This window comes from Homo sapiens, chromosome 7 (genome assembly GCF_000001405.40).
Source record: "Homo sapiens chromosome 7, GRCh38.p14 Primary Assembly".
In the NCBI taxonomy this organism is placed as follows: domain Eukaryota; kingdom Metazoa; phylum Chordata; class Mammalia; order Primates; family Hominidae; genus Homo; species Homo sapiens.
The window spans coordinates 48527960-48547315 of NC_000007.14; the positions used below are offsets into that span (position 1 = coordinate 48527960).

At 35.5% G+C, this 19356-nt stretch overlaps 1 protein-coding gene across 13 annotated transcripts in view, besides 1 other annotated feature; it reads left to right on the forward strand.

The window, feature by feature from the left end:
• Positions 1 to 19356, forward strand: part of ABCA13 (ATP binding cassette subfamily A member 13) — a 476040-nt gene that overhangs the window by 356502 nt on the left and 100182 nt on the right. For 11 of the 13 annotated variants that reach the window (XR_926914.3, XR_926915.3, XM_011515130.3 and 8 more), the window contains one exon: positions 277 to 386. Coding sequence is in view for 11 of the 13 variants with exons in the window: in XM_011515130.3 (XP_011513432.1) it covers positions 277 to 386 (110 nt within the window). In the remaining 2 variants the exon portion in view is untranslated. Of the gene's footprint in view, positions 1 to 276; positions 387 to 7331; positions 9339 to 19356 lie in introns of those variants that run through there. The other 2 variants (XM_047419920.1, XM_047419921.1) reach the window with 1 other exon arrangement.
• Positions 9217 to 10416: an enhancer, noted in NCBI's record as "BRD4-independent group 4 enhancer chr7:48576772-48577971 (GRCh37/hg19 assembly coordinates)". NCBI's record gives its function as "activates an origin of replication core promoter dependent on BRD2, P300/CBP, MED14 and CDK7 cofactors, and independent of BRD4, by STARR-seq in HCT116 cells {active_cell/tissue: HCT116}" and the evidence as "EXISTENCE:reporter gene assay evidence [ECO:0000049][PMID:35650434]".

Here is a 19356-nt window from a genome sequence, read left to right on the forward strand (position 1 = left end):
AGTTTTCCACACATGAATTTATTGTCTGTAAATTACTGCTGAAATTCTTATACCATTCAAGTGCCATGATGATTTTGAGAGGACTTTGTAATCTATACAGTGTTTTATACACTATTGTCATTTTAAAACTCCATAAATAACACAAACCAGCAAAGTCAACTCAAAGTTGGCTAAAAGCAAGTGCTGTTTCTGATATAATTTTGATTTTATTTAACTTGTTCTATTTATTTAGCTTGTTTGATTGAATGTGCTTTACTTAACTTTGTTTCCTCTTAGTGCTTTGGACTTCTAGGGGTGAATGGAGCTGGGAAGAGCACGACTTTCAAAATGCTGAATGGTGAAGTTTCTCTAACTTCAGGACATGCTATCATCAGGACTCCCATGGGGTAAGATACAGATTTCATCATTTTTGTTGCTTAAAGAGATAATAAGCCCAGAGAACCCCCAGCATTTTCCCTCAGTCCCGTGGAATAAAATTTGAAAACATCATTTTCCTCCAAATTTACCTTCCAATTACCACTCCTCTGATGTGGGGAAAAGTTTCCAAATATGAATAAACTGAGCTCAGTACTTCCAGCTGGAGTAAAGGGCCTTGGAGGTCTTATCACAGAGCAGCCAAAGGCAGACGTCCCTGGGAGGTATCAGAGTGGATTGGAAGTGCCCAGCTCCTCTCTGCAGATGGAACTCAGGGGAGCAGGAAATGGCCAAGGGGTGGTTCTTCTTTATTCTCCTCTGGATAAAACTTCAAATGTTCCCATCAGCCTAAGTGGCCAGATGGTTTCCCTCTTTTTACCACCCAGACTTCCTCTTTCAGGTGGTCATGACTCCTTCAGGGTGGGAGCAGTGAACACATTAAAAACCAAGAAAGCGGCCTCTAGGGGAGTAGGCAAGATGTTTATTCCCCTTGCTTTAACATATGTGAGGTCCCTGGGCACCCTGCACACTCAGAGGCTGCCTGAGGCCAGATGACCCCTGCAGGCTCTGTGGGTAACATACACTCATGCATTCCTTTATGTCACTCTTACCTGGGCCCTTTCACTCCCATTTCACAGGGCACCTGATTCTTCACCTCCTTCTAAACTGTGTGCTTGGTTGGGAACATTCAGGGCATGGTGCCTTCACGCCCCTTTCTGCACCTGTGTGGTAGTGTGTCTTCCTTTTTCCCCTGCTCTGATCAGGACTAATGTTAATGATGTTTCTCTCTACTGCAAGAAGAAATCCCCTGCTCTAAACCTCTCTGTGCTCAATTTGCTCTTTGATTTGTGTGCTATCAAGTTTACCCTAACAGCAAACTGGGCTCAATATCACAAACTAAAATCTTAGACCTTTAATTTCATAGCCAGTTTCTGGTGATTCTTTCTCCACATACCACTCCTGTGCTGTGCCTTCTAATATGGATGTCCTCGTATCCCATTCTTTTTTCAGCACTGTGTTACAAGGCCCCAGGCATCTATCTTTCTTTTTTCCCACTACAGCAAACTCATGGTAACTTGATGGGTAGTCAAATTCATAGCTGTCTTTATGAATTTAAACCCAGCACCCACCAGCCAACAGGTTGAGATGCGACCTCCAGCTTTCTGTTCAGTTTCTGATCCGCAGAGATATTTATTTTTAAGAGAGGTTATATGTTCTTGACCCTAGTTTTGTAGCAATGAATATGGCAAATAAAAATCGATTAAACATTGTTTTGTGGATGTAGAGAAAGAACTGTAAAGGATTGTGTCTACAATTTCCCACTGGAATTTTAATTGACTTTATGTTGCATTTATAAATTAATTTGGAAAGAACTAACATTTGACAATCTCTTTTTTTTTACAATCACTTGCTAAAATAAATATAATTCATTTGTGAAAGTATTTTAATTAATCCTTGCAGTCTATTAGAAGAGAATGCTCTTATCAGTAATTAATGAAACAGTTTTCTACACTTTCTCTACAGTAATGTCTCCTTTTTAAATTTTATTTTTTATTTCAATAGGTTTTTGGGGAACAGGTGGTGTTTGGTTACATGAATAAGTTCTTTAGTGGTGATTTCTGAGATTTTGGTGCACCTCACCCAAGCAGTGTACACAGTACCTAATTGTGTAGTCTTTTATCCCTCACTCCTCTCCCAACATTTCTCCCCAAGTCCCCAAAATTCATTGTATCATTCTTGTAATTCATTGTATCATTCTTATGCCTTTGTGTCCTAATAGCTTAACTTACAATTATAGTGAGAACATAAGAATGCTTGGTTTTTCATTCCTGAGTTACTTCACTTAGAATAATAGTCTCCAGTTCCATCCAGGTGGCTGCCAATGCCATTATTTATTTAGTTCCTTTTTGTGGCTGAGAGGTGTTTCATGGTGTATATATATGTATATATATACACATATACATATATAGATGTATATATACACATATATACATATATATTCTTTATCCACTTGTTGATTGATGGGCATTTGAGCTGGTTTCAAATTTTTGCAATTGCAAATTATGCTGCTATAAACGTGTGCGCAAATATCTTTTTCATATAATGACTTTTTTTCCTTTGGGTAGATACCTAGTAGTGAGATTGCTGGATCAAATGGTAGACCTACTTTTAGTACTTTAAGGAATCTCCACACTGTTTTCTATAGTGGTTGTACTAGTTTACATTCCCACCAACAGTGTAAAAGTGTTCCCTTTTTACCACATCCATGCCAACATCTATTATTTTGATTTTTTGATTATGGCCATTCTTGCAGGAGTGAAGTGGTACCACATTGTGTTTTGATTTGCATTTCCCTGATCATTAGTGATGTTGAGCATTTTTTCATATGCTTGTTAGTCATTTGTCTATCTTCTTTTGAGAATTGTCTATTCATGTCCTTAGCCCACTTTGTGATGGTATTTTTTGTTTCTTTCCTGCTGATTTGTTTGAGTTCTTTGTAGATTCTGGATCTTAGTCTTTTGTCAGATGTATAGATTGTGAAGATTTTCTCCCACTCTGTGGGCTGGCTGTTAACCCTGCTGATTGCTTATTTGGCTGTGCAGAAGCTTTTTAGCTTAATTAAGTCCCATCTGTTTATCTTTGTTTTTGTTGCATTTGCTTTTTGGTTCTTGGTCATGCAGTCTTTGCCTAAGCCAATGTTTAGAGGGGTTTTTCCGATGTTATCTTCTAGAATCATTATGGTTTCAGGTCTTAGATTTAAGTCTTTGATCCACCTTGAGTTGATGTTTGTATAAGGTGAGAGATGAGGATCCAGTTTCATTCTTCAACATGTGGCTTGCTAATTATCCCTGCACCATTTGTTGAATATGGTGTCCTTTCCCATCTTTATGTTTTTTTGTTTGCTTTGTCAAAGATCAGTTGGCTGTGAGTATTTGGCTTTATTTCTGGGTTATTGATTCTGTTCCATTCGTCTATGTGCCTATTTTTATACAAGTACCATTCTGTTTTGGTGACTATGGCCTTATAGCATAGTTTGAAGTTAGGTAATGTGATGCCTCCAGGTTTGTTCTTTTTGCTTAGCAATTGCTTTGGCTATGTGGGCTTCTTTTTGGTTCCATATGAATTTTAGGATTTTTTTTTCTAGTTCTGTGAAGAATGATGGTGGTATTTTGATGGGAATTCCACTGAAATTGTAGATTGCTTTTAGCAGTATGGTCATTTTCACAATATTGATTCTACCCATCCATGAGCATGGGATGTGTTTCCATTTGTTTGTATCATCTATGATTTCTTTCAGCAGTGTTTTTTACTTTTCCTTGTAGAGGTCTTTCACCTCCTTGTTTAGGTATATTCCTAATTTTTTTTTTTTTTTTTTTTTTGCGGCTGTTGTAAAAGATGTTGAGCTCTTGATTTGATTCTCCGTTTGGTTGCTTTTGGTGTATAGCAGAGCTACTGATTTGTGTACATTAATTTTGTGTCCTGAAACCTTGCTGAATTTATTTACTAGTTCTAGGAGTTTTCTGGATGAGTCTTTAGGGTTTTCTACGTATACAATCATATCATCAGCAAACAGTGACAGTCTGACTTCCTCTTTACCAATTTGGATGCTCTTTATTTTTTTCTCCTGTGTGATTGCTCTGGCTAGGACTTCCAGTATTATGTTGAATAGAAGTGCTGAAAGTGGGCATCCTTGTCTTGTTCCAATTCTCAGGGGGAATGCTTTCAGCTTGTCCCCATTCAGTATAATATTGTCTATGGGTTTGTCATAGATGGCTTTTAATACCTTAAGTTATGTCCCTTCTATTCCTATTTTGCTGAGGGTTTTAATCATAAAGAATGCTGGATTATGTCAAATGCTTTTTCTGCATCTATTGAGATGATCATGTGAATTTTGTTTTTAATTCTGTTTATGTGGTGTATCACATTAATTGGCTTGCATGTGTTAAATCAACCCTGCATCCCTGGTATGAAACACATTTGATCATGGTGGATTATCTTTTTGATATGCTTTGGATTCAGTTAGCTAGTATTTTTATAAGGATTTTTTCATCTATGTTCATTAGGGATATTGGTGTGTTGTGTTGTGTTCTTTTTTTGTTATGTCCTTTCCTGATTTTGGTATTGGGGTGACACTGGCTTCATAGAGTGATTTAGGGAGGATTCCCTCTTTCTCTATCCTGTAGAATAGTGTCAATAGGATTGGTCCCAATTCTTCTTTGAATGTCTGATAGAATTCAGCTGTAAATTCCTCTGGTACTGGATTTGTTTTTGTTGGTAATTTTTTTAATTATCATTTCAATCTTGCTGCTTGTTATTGGTCTATTCAGAGTTTCTGTTTCTTCCTGGTTTAATCTAGGAGGATTATATATTTCCAGGAATTTATTCATCTCCTTCAGGTTTCCTAATTTATGTGTGTGAAGGTGTTTATACTAGAATTGAATAGTATTTTTTATTTCTGTAGTATCAGTAATAATATCTCTTTTTTCATTTGTAATTGAGCTTATTTGAATCTTCTCTCTTCTTTTCTTGGTTAATCTTGCTAATGGTCTATCAATTTGATTTGTCATTTCAGATAACCAGCTTTGTGTTTCATTTATCTTTTGCATTTTTTTTGTTTAAATTTCATTTCATTCTGCTCTGATCTTCATTATTTCTTTTCTTCTGCTGGGTATGAGTTTGGTTTGTTTCTCTAAGTCTTTGAGATGTGACTTTACGTTGGCTGTTTGTGCTCTTTCAGATGTTTTGATGTAGGCATTTAAGGCTATGAGCTTTCCTTTTAGCATTGCCTTTGCTGTATCCCAGAGGTTTTGACAGGTTGTGTCACTATTATCATTCAGTTCAAAGAATTTTTGAATGTTAATCTTGATTTCATTGTTGACCCAATGATCATTCAGGAGTAGGTTATTTAATTTCTATGTATTTGCATGGTTTTGAGGGTTCCTGTTGGAGTTGATTTCCCATTTTATTCAACTGTGGTCTGAGAGAGTACTTAATATAATTGTGATTTTCTTAAATTTACTCAGACTTGTTTTGTGTCCTATCATATGGTCTATCTTGGAGAATGTTCCATGTGCTAATGAATAGAATGTATATTCTGTAGCACATGAATGTTCTGTAATCATCTGTTGAGTCCATTTGTTCTAGGGTATAGTTTAAGTCCATTGTTTCTTTGTTGACTTTCTGTCTTGGTGACCTGACTAGTGCAGACAGTGGAGTATTAAAGTCCTCCACTATCATTGTGTTGCTATCTGTCTCATTTTTTAGGTGTAGTAGTAATTGTTTTATAAATTTAGGAGCTCCATTGTTAGGTGCATATATGTTTAGGATTGTGATATTTTCTTGTTGGGCTAGTCCTTTTGTCATTATATAATGTCCTTCTTTATCTTTTTTTTAACTGCAGTTGCTTTAAAGTTTGTTTTGTCTGATATAAAAATTGCTACTCCAGCTTGCTTTTGGTGTCCATTTGCATGGAATATCTCTTTCCACCCCTTTACCTTAAGCTTATGTGTATCCTTATGTGTTAGATGAGTCTCCTGAAGACAGCAGAAATTTGGTTGATGAATTCTTCTCTATTCTGCCATTCTGTATCTTTTAAGTGGAGCATTTAAGCCATTTACATTCAATGTTAGTACTATTTGTTGCCTGAATGTCTTGTTTGTTTGTCTGTTTCATTGTGTTATTGTTATATAGGTCCTGTGAGATTTATGCTTTAAAGAGGTTCTATTTTGGTGTATTTTGAGGATTTGTTTTAAGATTTAGAGCTTGTTTTAGCAGTTCTTGTAGAGTGGGGCTGGTAGTGGCGAATTCTCTCAGCATTTGTTTGTCTGTAAAAGACTGTATCTTTCCTTCATTCATGAAGCTTAGATTTGCTGGATACAAAATTCTTGGCTGATAATTGCTTTGTTTAAGGAGGTTAAAAATAGAACCCTGATCCCTTCTAGCTTTCAGGATTTCTTCTGAGAAATCTGCTGTTATTCTGATAGCTTTTCCTTTATAGGTTACCTGATGCTTTTGCCTCATAGCTCTTAAGATTCTTTCCCTTGTCTTTACTTTAGATAACCTGATAACTATGTGCTTATTTGCATGGTTTTGAGGGTTCCTTAAAACGTAGGTGATGATCTTTTTTCAATGAATTTCCCAGGTGTTCTTTGAGCTTCTTGTATTTGAATGTCTAGATCTCTAGCAAGGCCAGGGAAGTTTTTCTTGATTATTCCCTCATATATGTTTTCCACACTTGTAGATTTCCCTTCTTCCTCAGGAAAACCAATTAGTCTTAGGTTTAGATGCTTAACATAATCCCAAACTTCTTGGAGGCTTTGTTCATTTTTTAAAATTCTTTTTTCTTTGTCTTTGATGAATTGGGTTAATTAGAAAGTCTTGCCTTTGAGCTCTGAAGTTCTTGCTTCTGCTTTTCCAGTTCTATTGCTGAGACTTTCCAGTGCGTGTTGCATTTCTCTAAGTGTGCCTTGATTTCCAGAAGTTGTGATTTTAAAAAATTTATGGTATCTATTACACTGGAGATTTTTCCTTCCATGTCCTGTATTATATTTTTGATTTATGTAAGTTAGAGTTCACCTTTCCCTGGCTCCTCCTTGGTTAGCTTAATAATTGACCTTCTAAATTATTTTTCTGACAATTCAGAGATTTTGTTTTGGTTTTGATCCATTGCTGGTGAGCTGATACGATCTTTTAGGGGTGTTAAAGAATTATGTTTTGTCATATTACCGGAATTGTTTTTCTGGTTTCCTCCTCATTTGGGTAGACTATGTCAGAGGGAAGATCTGGGACTCTAGCTGCTGTTTAGATTCTTTTGTCCCACAGGGTGCTCCCTTCATGTGGTGCTCTTCCCCTTGCCCTAGGAATGGGGCTTCCTGAGAGCCCAACTGTAGTGATTGTTTTTACCCTTTTGTGTTTAGCCACCCAGCAGAGCTACCAGGCTCCAGGATGGTATTGGGGAGTGTCTGCAAAGAGTCCTGTGATGTGATCCATCTTCAGGTCTTTCAGCCGTGGATACCAGCACCTGCTCAGGTGGAGGTAGCAGGGGAATGAAGTGGACTCTGAGGTTCCTTGGTTGTATTTTTGTTTAGTGTGCTGGTTTTGCATTGGTTGGCCTCCAGCCAGGAGGTGGCGCTTTCAAGAGTGTATCGGCTGCCCTTGTGGAAGAAGGATCAGGTGGTGGGTGGGGCCATAGAGTTCCCAAGAGATTATGTGCTTTATCTTCAGCTACCAGGGCAGGTAGAGAAGGACCATCAGATGGGGGCAGAGTTAGGTGTGTCTGAGCTCAGACTCTCCTTTGGTGGGGCTTGCTGTGGTGGCAGTGGGGGTGGGTGTGTGGTTCTCAGGCCAGTGGATTTATGTTCCTCAGGGGATTATGGCTGCCTCTGCTGAGTCACACAGGTTGCCAGGGAAGTGGGGTAAGTCGGCAGTCACAGGCTTTACCCCGCTGCCATACAGCCTGCAGTCCTAAAGACAGGTCTCACTCCCACCGTGGCCCTCCCAACAGCATCAAGTCAATTTCTGGGCAGTTGGTGACCAGGGCTGAGAACTTGCCCCAGAGAACTCAGCCTTCCTGCTGAGAAAGCAAATGGACTCATGGTTTTCCGATGTCTCATTGAGCCAGCAGCAGTGATCCAGTTCCTTCAAAGGGTCTGTGGATTCTCTCAGCTTTCCTGGTATGTTCCTAGGGTAATTCTTGTAGCAAAAGTTCACGATATGAGTCTTCACATGCAGCTGTCTGAGCAGGAGCTGCAGGCTAGTCCTGCCTCCTTTCCCTCTATGGTAACATCTCTGATTCTAATTCTCCTTATTGCTTTCCTTAGAACTATCAAAACAATGTTAAATGGCAATGCATTTTCTCATTTAATGGTAATATTTCTATTTATGAAATGATGGATTGAAAATTATCTACAAATTTTCATCTAATGTAGACATTATTTTGTTGGCAATTTTATAAAAAGTTCTTACAAGAATATTTTAAATTTATCACTTTAAGGCCAGGTGCAGTGGCTCACACTTGTAATCCCAGCATTATGGGAGGCCGAGGTGGGAGGATCACCTGAGGTCAGAAGTTCAAGACCAGCCTGGCCAACATGGTGAAACCCCATCTCTACTAAAAATACAAAAATTACGTGGGCGTGGTGGTGTGTGCCTGTAATCCCAGCTACTCAGGAGGCTGAAGTGGGAGAATCACGTCAACTCTGGAGGCGGAGGTTGCAGTGAGCCAAGATCACACCACTGCACCCCAGCCTGGGTGACAGAGTGAGACTCCATCTCAAAAAAAAAAAAAATTATAACTTCAACATTTATAAAGTTGCATGTATTTTATAGTTCTTTTCCTTTTGACAAATTTGTTATAAATAAGAGGTAGTTGATTATCCACCTATCCTTAGCTTTCCATAATAAATTTTATTTTTGTTAGATTTTTAATATTTTTGTTAAATTTCATATGCTAATAGTCTATATAGATTTTATATTTATTATTCATAAGAAAAATTAATTTGTTGAAAACATCATTTTCAATTTTTGCTATTAACTATTTTGCATTTTTGTAATTTTGACAATTTGTGTTTCCTTAGAAACTCATTAATTTAATTTAAAATTGCAAATTACTTACATAGGATTATAACTATGGTTCTCCTAAAATTTGTATTTCCTTCCTATACCTGTGTCTGTATATTTGTGTTTTATTTCTATAAGTTATATTTTCCAGATTCTGACTTTTATTTTTAAAAGGATGAAATATTAATTTATTTAGAAATTCAAATTATTTTTGCTTTTCAAATTTATCAAACTTTGTCATTCTTCTTAATCCCCCACCATGCTTTTCTCAATCTAGTTTTGTTGTTTTATTTCTAACTTTTTGATTTAAGTGTTTTTTGTGTTTTTCATCTTAAAATAAAAAATCAAATTATGAGGACTACCAATATGCTTTTTGTACAGCTTTTACCTTGATCCTAAAAATGTAATAAATCATAGTATTGTTGTTATTCTCTAAATGATGTTAGAAATACATTTTCAGTGCCACAAAGGAAGTAGCACTCGAACATGAATTTTCTCAGCAAGGCAATTTTACTTCTATAGAAGGATGCATCTCACGGATGGAGCAATGGCGAGAGCACACCTGAACAAGGGAGGGGAAGGAGTTTTTATCCCTGACGCAGGTAGCCCCTACTGCTGTGTCATTCCCCTATTGATTAGGGTTGGACCACACAGTCTAAGCTAATTCCTACTGGCTATTTTAAAGAGAGCAGGGTTACGAGCCAGAGTGGTGGGATGAGCAGTTCTGGTGGGAAAGACGGTTACAGAACAAATGACTAAATGTGACTCAGGTCAGAACAGGTGACCAAGGGTGACTCAGGTTGCAGCAGGTGATCAGGGGTGACTCAGGACAGAGCAGGTGATCAGGAGTGACTCAGGATGGAGCAGGTGACCAGGGGTGACTCAGGACTGAGCAGATGACCAGGGAAACAGTTGTGAACTACTGATTACAACTGGTGGGGAGGTTGTTTACTGAAACTAGGGGAAGGAGATGAGGAGAACAAGGAAGTTAAACTTTAAAATGAAGGTCATAGAACTGAACATACTGACATACTGATACTTTGAAGAGAAACTTAGAACTCACTGTATTTAACAATGACATATATGATTTTAATATAGTATTTTTATCAAACTTTAGAAGGCTTTTTTTCAGATACTCATTATCTTATTTTTTTCTTTCTTTCTTTCCTTTTTTTTTTTTTTTTTTGAGGTGGAGTCTTGCTCTAGCACCCAGCCTGGAGTGCAGTGGTGCGATCTCAGCTCACTGTAACCTCTGCCTCCTGAGTTAAAGTGATTCTCCTGCCTCAGCCTCCTGAGTAGCTGGGATTACAGGCGCATGCCACTGCACCCGACTACATTTTGTATTTTTAGTAGAGATGGGGTTTTACCATGTTGGCTAGGCTGGTCTCGAACTGCTGACCTCAGGTGATCCACCCACCTCGACCTCCCAAAGAGCTGGGATTACAGGTGTGAGCCATCGCGCCCAGCCTATCTTATTTCTTCCTTCAATATTTTTACAAAATAATTTTAAAGACTTTTTTGAAGTTTAATTTACATATGAAAAAGAACATCCAATGACTTTTCATAAAATGAATATAATTATATAATCTGTACCTACCTCAAGAAACAGAACCAGACCACCAACCCATAAATTCCATCTAATCACATCCCTGTTGAGGTTAACTCTTATTTGCATCTTTTTTGTTTTTAATACAACTTAATGTATTATTAAAGGCAATCTTGTAAACAAAACTCAGGACAAGAAGTAGAACTTTGGTAGCTAACTTATAAGTCATTCTATGTACTCCATTCCAAATACAACCTCTTCCATTTAAATGATTTTTTTTGAATTCATTACGCAAGAGTCTATTCCTAGACACCATAGTTTAATCTTGCATGTTTGTAAGATACTTGATAGGGCCTTTAAGTTACTCAATTCACAGGTCCTTTCTCCATTCCTTTCATTTCTTTACAAACTCTCTGTCGAAGAACCTGAACTGTTGGACATGGTGAGTTGGCCTACAAACTTTGCTGACTGCATACTGATGATGGAATTTAATATGTTCATTTGTTCTGTTTCTTGCAATTGCAGCTGGATTCAGAGGTTTAGTTAGACGCAGGTTCAATCCTTTGGCATGACTAAACAGGAGATGATGTTCTCTTTCATCAAGAGGCACATAATGTCTGGGCCAGGTGAGGTGGCTCATGCCTGTAATCCTAGCACTTTGGGAGGCTGTGGCGGGCGAATTGCTTGAGCCCAGAGTTTGAGACCGGTCTGGGAAACATGGGGAAACCCTGTCTCTACCAAAAATACAAAAATTAGCCAATCTCATAACCTTGTGTAAAAATAATAAATATTAAAATATAAAACTAAAAAATAGGCACATAATAGCTGGTCTTTAGTCTTTTTTTTTTTGCTTTTAGCAGTTTTGATGTTTAATGCTTAGGTGAATTCATCCATTGCAAAATGGTCATGTTTTAACCTAGTCTTTTTGTTTTCATTTACTAGTTTGGATAATTTTGTACAGAGATGCTTTAACTGTCTTTTATTTGGCTACTCAGAGGTACAGTTCATACAGGAAAAGAGACAGAATTTATTTACCCAGTTTTCACAATAATCAATTGGTTTTCAGCTGTCCTCAGAAAGTGACAGATTAGGTTTTCATGTATTTGTTTCCTTGTATCATTCTGACTTCATTCTGATAGAATTAGAATGTATCACAAGTGTCACTTTGTGCTTAGTTATCTCTTTTACTTCTTAGAATTTCCCTTTTTTATTCTCTCGACATTCTCCTCTAGTCATTTCTTCATCCATATACTAGAAATAATAACTCAAATGTTTAAATGAAGGTTCAATGCTATACCACATAAAATCCACCTTGTGCAGAAACAGACATGCTGTTGTCATTTAACTGCAACTAACTTATATGAAGAAAATTGCAGACCTGAAATCAAATCTATCTTGCTCCAAATGCTACATGCTATATCTGTTTCTGTCTGTCGGCAGATAATGCAGTTTTACTTGGGTTAATCTATGTCAATAGGTGAAAACTCAACATTAAGAGCTAATTATGTTTGAGAACAGAAAGTAGAGAAAATTTATTAGTTGAGCAAGTGTTTGAGGTTGGTATGTGTAAAGAGAGTTGTGATACTACTTACTCTGAAAGGAAATCCTGCTGTATGGGATTGAATCTCTCTCAAGTGTTTCCTTGATTTTTCTCTGCAGTCATAGAAGAAGTAAGATATTTTTGTTGAATTTGGAGGTAGGTTTTGAAAAAAAAAATTCTAACTTCTCTATTTACAAGTACATGTAGACAAAAGAATTTTAACTTATAAAGCAAAATTAGGTTTATTTCTTCATCCCTGGAAGACTGACTCTCTCCTTTGTAATTCTATTTCATCATTTGTAAAATAATTGGAAAATGAAATTCAAATAACTACTCTTGAAAAGAAGAATAAATTTACATACAAATAATGGTCTGCAAGTCCCTTATTATACTCCATATCTGTGTAATTAGTTTAATTATAACTAAATCATGCTTGCATTAATTATATTTTAACCTTGATTATTTGTAATGTTAATTGCACATTGGTATTCAAAGAATTAAATAGGTAATTAGCAGCACAATGGAATTTTTCACTACTTAGAGAGTTGAAATGTACCTTCCTGCCCATGAAGCCCATAGCTTATTGCTACCTAATTGAAACACATCTACTCATTCATTCAATATATTAAGGTATTTTTGTCTCTTCTTTGAGGTTATATTATCTAAAACAGGGCTCTTTTACTTTCCTGTTTAATTTACTAATCTCCATGAATGCACATCTTCAAACTTGAGAGTAATACATGTCTAAATATATTTCAAAATTGTCCACTGTAGTTTGGCTCAGAGCATGTCATGTTCTCCTGATATACTGATAGTTGTCTCAGGCCAGAAATCACATGCATTTTTATTATTATTATTTTCTATTCTCTGTAGCTCTTCTTCCTACTATCGTAACTCTCAACTTTTTGTCTTGGCAAGTTGTCAAGGCTGCAGCATGATAGACTAGGTCCCAGAGGAAGTGAAGACAAGGAAGTGAAGTAAGGAATTTAAGACTAAGATTTGTTTTATGAATTTGATCAACACAGTTGAGAAGCAGGCATAAGAATAAATAATTATTTGACTTAAAACTAGCAGTCTCATATCTGGAACACTAAAGTCCTGCTAAGGTAGTGGCAAGATTAACAAAAGGCTCTAAAAATTGGAGACAAGTTTTCTGATGAAAATCTTATGTTGTGATATTTACTTAAAATATGAAAGGCTGTGGCATTTTTATTTGGTCAGCATAGTGTTAAAATTTTGGATTTGGATTGGCGTTGGTTCCAGTTTGTCACAGTTGCCACCATTGCTTGTTGCCTTATTGATGGACACCATCAAACATTTACTTGGACTATTACATCTGAAATTATTGAAATTTGTGGCTCCTGAACACCATAAATGTTAATCTCATTAGCCATGATTTACTGTGTCTCTCTTATTCGCCGAGTATTAAGTTAGGGGCTTTACATTCTAGATCTTATTTGATAATTATAATGACAAAGAGGTTGTTATCCTAATTTTACTGACAAGAATCTAAGATTCAGAAAAATTAAGTGGCTTGCCGGAAGTCAAACTTCTAGAACATGATGGAGCTTTGAATCCAAGTTTTTGAAACTCTAAATCACATGCAGTTCCTATCCACCCTTTGACTATTAGAGAAAACAAAGTAGTCACAATCAATGAGACAGAACATAAAATATTTTAAAAGGGAGAAGAAAAAGAGATATATATATACATATAAAATATCATGTATATAAATATCATATGATATATATCTTAGTTATATCTATATATATATTTTAAAAGGAAAGTTGACAGATAACAGAGCAGGCACATATTTTTATAATAAATATTATTGGGAGTATCTTTCCTTAAAAAATCAGACACTCAGAAACTGGGTTAAAAAAGGTATTTTTTTTTTTACATGACACAACACACCATTACAGTGAAATTAAAAATAATGGCCATTATGCAAATGAAAACAAAACAAAACTGTATAAATACGTTAACATTTAAATATATAATTCAAGTAAAGGTACATATGAGGCAAAGACACTACTAAATAAAATACATTCTTTGATGTGAAGTCATTGCAGTCAAGAAATTCTGTATATGAAAGACATAGAATGATAAGGTGTAAAGCAAAGTCTGTTGGGAAAACCAGAAAGAGAATGAGAGGATACGTTGGAAGGAAGAGACCTTAACTCTTTAATTATCTAATAGTTACAAAGTGTAATATATTTGGAGAATGAGTTTCACGTCATCAACACAAGAAACAAGACTGTTTATCATACAAACATGACAAATACAACTCTTCATTTTTATTTATGAAGTACTAGAGTAATTCCTGTTAAAATAAGAAACAGAATAACATGATCAACATTATTATTTAGCATTTTCTGGAATTTAAGTTCCTGCTATAAGACATAGTTTAAAAAATAGTATGAGTATTTATACTGCTAATTATTATCTTTTGTGTCATCATACACTTAAATACCCAAGAAGATCAATTAAGAAATAATTTCAACTGAAGTGGCCAGAAAAAATAATAAATACATTCAAGGCTATATAATATGAAAAACAATTACAATAGAAAAAAACACATGCAAGGTAATGAATAACCTTAGAAGGAAATATGGTCAACCTATATGTTAAAATGTAGATGATGTTTTCAGCATAAAAGAATAAATAAGTAATAAGATAATACCATGTTGCTGAATGGAAAAGCTGAATCATCTTACTATTACTCTCCTCTAGCAAGTTTTATAGATTTAATGTAATTCCAATTGATATTGCAGAGAATAGAGTAGGCTTTACACAGAATTTCTGAAGTTTTAAACACAAGAATAAATAGATGGGTCTAATCGTGACATTTTTCAAAAAGAATAGGTTGATAATGGCTAAATGACTTAAGAAATATTTCAGTGCATTATATTGACTTTGTAATAAAATAATGTCTTTCTAATTGGATTGCTTAATCGATAAGAGAAAATCAAAATATAAAAAAGGTAGTATACACATTTTACATTAGTGATAAAAGGAAAAGAAGTTGCAAAATTTTCCTGAGATTGGTATTTTCTATCCCTCAAAGAAAATTAGAAATAAGGCAAATAAACACATTGTTTATTCAATAAGGACATTTCTTTTAGACATTAAATTAATGTAAAATTTACAGTAGAAAATACAGATATATTTAAACATAGAAATTTAAATTTCTTCTGTAAGTCGAAACATTAAAATTGAAAGGCTGAAAACAAGGATCAAATAAGACAAAGCATTAATAGGTATAATATGTAAATTACTGTATAGTGATAAGGAAAAGACTACAATTACAATACAAATAGGCTAGCTGGGCACGGTGGCTCACGCCTGTAATCCTAGCACTTTGGGAGGCCGAGGCAGGCAGATTGACTGAGGTTAGGAGTTCGAGACCAGCCTGGCCAGCATGGTGAAATCCTGTCTCTACTAAAAATACAAAAATTGGCTGAGCATGGTGGTGGGCACCTGTAATCCCAACTACTCGGGAAGCTGAGGCAGGAGAATCGCTTGAACCCAGGAGTCGGAGGTTGCAGTGAGCCGAGATCGCACCGTTGCACTCCAGCCTGGGCAACAGAGGGAGACTCCATCTCAAAAAAGTAAAAAATAAAAAAAATAAAAAATAGGCATAAGACTTAAGCATTAAACACAATATGAAAGTGAATGGTTAATAAACATTTTAAAAATAGTTGCCATCATTAATATAAAAATGCAAAACAAACAACAGATACATATATATTTTTAATCATTATAAACAACTAAAATGTAGTGCACAATTTCATGAAGGTATAGTAAAGTGGACACTGTTATATGCTTATCTTTGGAATATAAATCATAATTTTACTGGAGTTAAGCATGGCAATATATATAAAAAATACTTGGGCTAATAATTTTCCTTCTGGGAAATTTGTGCCTAGGGAGATAACAGAAACTTGGATAAAGGTTTAAATGAAAATATATTTATTCTAGTAAATAATTGAGAAGGTATTGTTCCTATATATTTAACAATTACATTAATTACAAAATGTTGGTGCAAAATCATTTAAAATAATATTAAATATATTAAAATGGAAGATTAGCATAACTTGAAAATGCTCTCATTACTAGATAAGAATTATCTAAAACGATTATATTAGTACCTATCTGAGGTCACAAGAAAGGAGGGAAATTTCCAGGTGCCATAAAAGAAGAAACCAACAAACCTGATGTGATACTGTGCAATATATATTTTTGTCTTAGACCCATTTCCAAGCCTACAACTCCTAAAATTCTTGGAATGTCCAAACTGATGTAATTTTTATGCTAATGATTTATGGCGCTGGCAGCCTCTAGGTCACTTCAGGATGGGGCTGGTCACCAGAAAGACCAAGGCAGGATTACAGGGTTGGGACTTCCAGCCACACCCCTCAATCTCAGGGGATGATGAGACGCTGAAGGTTAAGTTGATCACAAATGACCAACGATTTATTCAACCATGCCTCTGTAAAAGCTCTGTAAAATCCCCCAAAACTGTGTTCAGGGAGTTTCTGGATACCTGAACACTTGATAGTTCCTGGAGGGTGGTTCCCAGAGAGGGATGGAAGCTCCATACCCCTTCCCACATGCTTTCCCTTATACATCTTTTCATTTCTATCTTTTGTAATAGTCTTTGTAATAAACTGGTAAATGCAAATAAGTGTTTCCCTGAGTTCTGTGAGCCATTCTAGCAAATTAATCAAACCCAAGAAGAGGGTCATAGGATCCCTGGCCGATCCCAAAAGGTCAGAAGCTCAGGTAAAACAACCTGAGGCTTGTGACTGGCATCTGAAAGGGAGCGGTCTTGGGGACTGAGCCCTCAACTTGTGGGATCTGATTATGTCTGCAGGCAGATAGGGTCAGAATAGAACTGAACTAGAGAACATTCAGCTGGTGTCTGCTGCAGAAATGATTGCTTGATTGTTGGTGGGGAGAAATCCCCACACATTTGGTCACAGAAGTCTTGTGTTGATTGTTGTGGTGTGAGAGCAGAGGAAAAACAGAGTTTTCACACTTTCATTCCAGAGTAATTGCTTGTGTTGCCACCTAAGAAAGGGGCAAAGCATATGTAAATTTCTGATTTGGAGGCATAGGTTTTAATGTCCCTGATGGTGCAAGAGCTATGACTGCAGCTCTGCATGTGGAGAAGCATTGAACTGAAACTCTGTATAAAGCTAGGATCGTTGAAAGGCTGCATCCTTACTGAAGGGGTAGGATCTAGAAAAGACCTTCTACTGGCATAGAAAGATAATAGGAAAACATTAATTTCTGTCTAGGATTAGAGGTGAAAAGAAAAAAATCTCCCCTGGAATTTTGAAAACCTGAGCTTATACCCTAGAACTGAAACTCCTAGAATTGTGGGAGTTTAAATTTGACTACCTGTGATCTGAGAACCACAACTCCCCCTACCCAAGAATATAACATAAACATTGACCTCAGTTTGATGATACCCATGGGCACTTTTAAGAAGAAAACACAAATCTTTGCAAGGATGGTCTCACAGCTCATATATCATTTTTTTTCAAGAGCCCATTAAAGTGGAGTGACTAAACAAACATTACAAAACACACAAGACAACTATCTACTATATAGATAAATTAATGGCTATCACAAAAAGGAGAATTGGCACACAAAGAATGTAATGTAAGAGAACTACAATCACAAAGAAAATGTAAGAAGTACCATGATATGAGAGAGAATAGATTTGAAAAAAAAAGTACTAAGATTAAAAACTGTGGCTATTAAAAAGAAAAACAATGGTTGGGTTAAAAACAAATGATGTACTGCTAATAAAAAATATGAAAATGAAATTATGTGAAATATGGAGGATAGAAAGAGGTCTAACATAAGTCTAATTAGATTTCTGAACAAAAGAATAGAGACAATGGGAGAGAGGCACCATTTGAAGAAATAATAGGTGAGGATTTTCTAGTGTTAAGACTGTTGCTTCCTTCAATTGAAGAAACATTACATTTATTGAATATAATAAATGAGACATTCATACTTAGGCACTTTGTGTTGAAACCAAGAATTCCAAAAACAAACTCTTAAAAGAAACAAGGTGGCAGGTCACCACAAAGTAAGAAATACACCTGCATCTGTTCACAATAATAGCCACTAGCCACTTGTAGCATCTAAAATTAAATGTAAATATGTTAAAATCAAATCAAATTATAATTTTTTTCTCAGCAGCCACTAGCAACATTTCAAGAGTACAAGAACCTTCTGTTTCAGGCAGCACAGATACAAAACATTTTCATTGTTGCAGAAAGTTTAATTTGGCAGTGATGAATTAGACCAAAGACCAACTTCTTGACAGCAAGAATATAAACAGAATCCAGTAAAATGAAAGAACATAATGAATCAAAATGCATTAATAGGTCAATAGTTGTTATATATAGACACAGAATTATAGGTTAAGTTTTATTTTTTCTTAATCCTTCCTGTACTTTCCAAATCTTGCGCTATGATCGTGTGTTAGATTATCAGACAATTAAATAATAAACGGGATATAAACTCTTAAGACAAAAGCCTTTCTCTTCACATTTCAAACTAGCATTTTTTGAGTTTGCTCCATTTTAATATATGCAACTGGGATAAACTGTTTTTTCCTTAGGTTTTCCCGTTTTTTAAGTGACCGTATCATAGAATTCATGTGAACAATAACTATGAAGTGCTATGACACCATCAAAATTCTAAGTATTATGTATATAATACTTAAAAATTTATGTATAAATTACTGTGCTTCATATAAACCAATGCACTACCAATATATACAAAAAGACATGGAACTCATTTATTGCTTTTAAATGTTTCATCTTCCTTTAGACTAATATGAATCACAAATTAGAGTAGTTTGAATCATAACCTCACCAACTAGCAACTAGTTGACAATTTAATTTTCTCCATTTAAAATTAAATGACAATTTAACAATACTAACCTAGGAAAACAATGAAAGAAAGTCCTCTCTAATTTTACATCAAAGTGATTTTTATTCTTGCAGACACCAGTTTAAAAAAATGGTCTAACTGTGCCTCTATGTTTGTATGTATCAATTATCTGTCTGCATGTACACATGCTTGCATGTACATATACACAAAAATGCTCATATACAGTGTATATTTTTTTCATTCATTTCATTCAGTTTTTAAATTTACATCATCATATCAAAATGTTTTCAGAACTGCTGCACAGTCTTCACATTAATGCCTACCTTGTATTCCACTGGTTTTCTATGCCAGCATGTACTGAGTCATTTCTCTATTACAT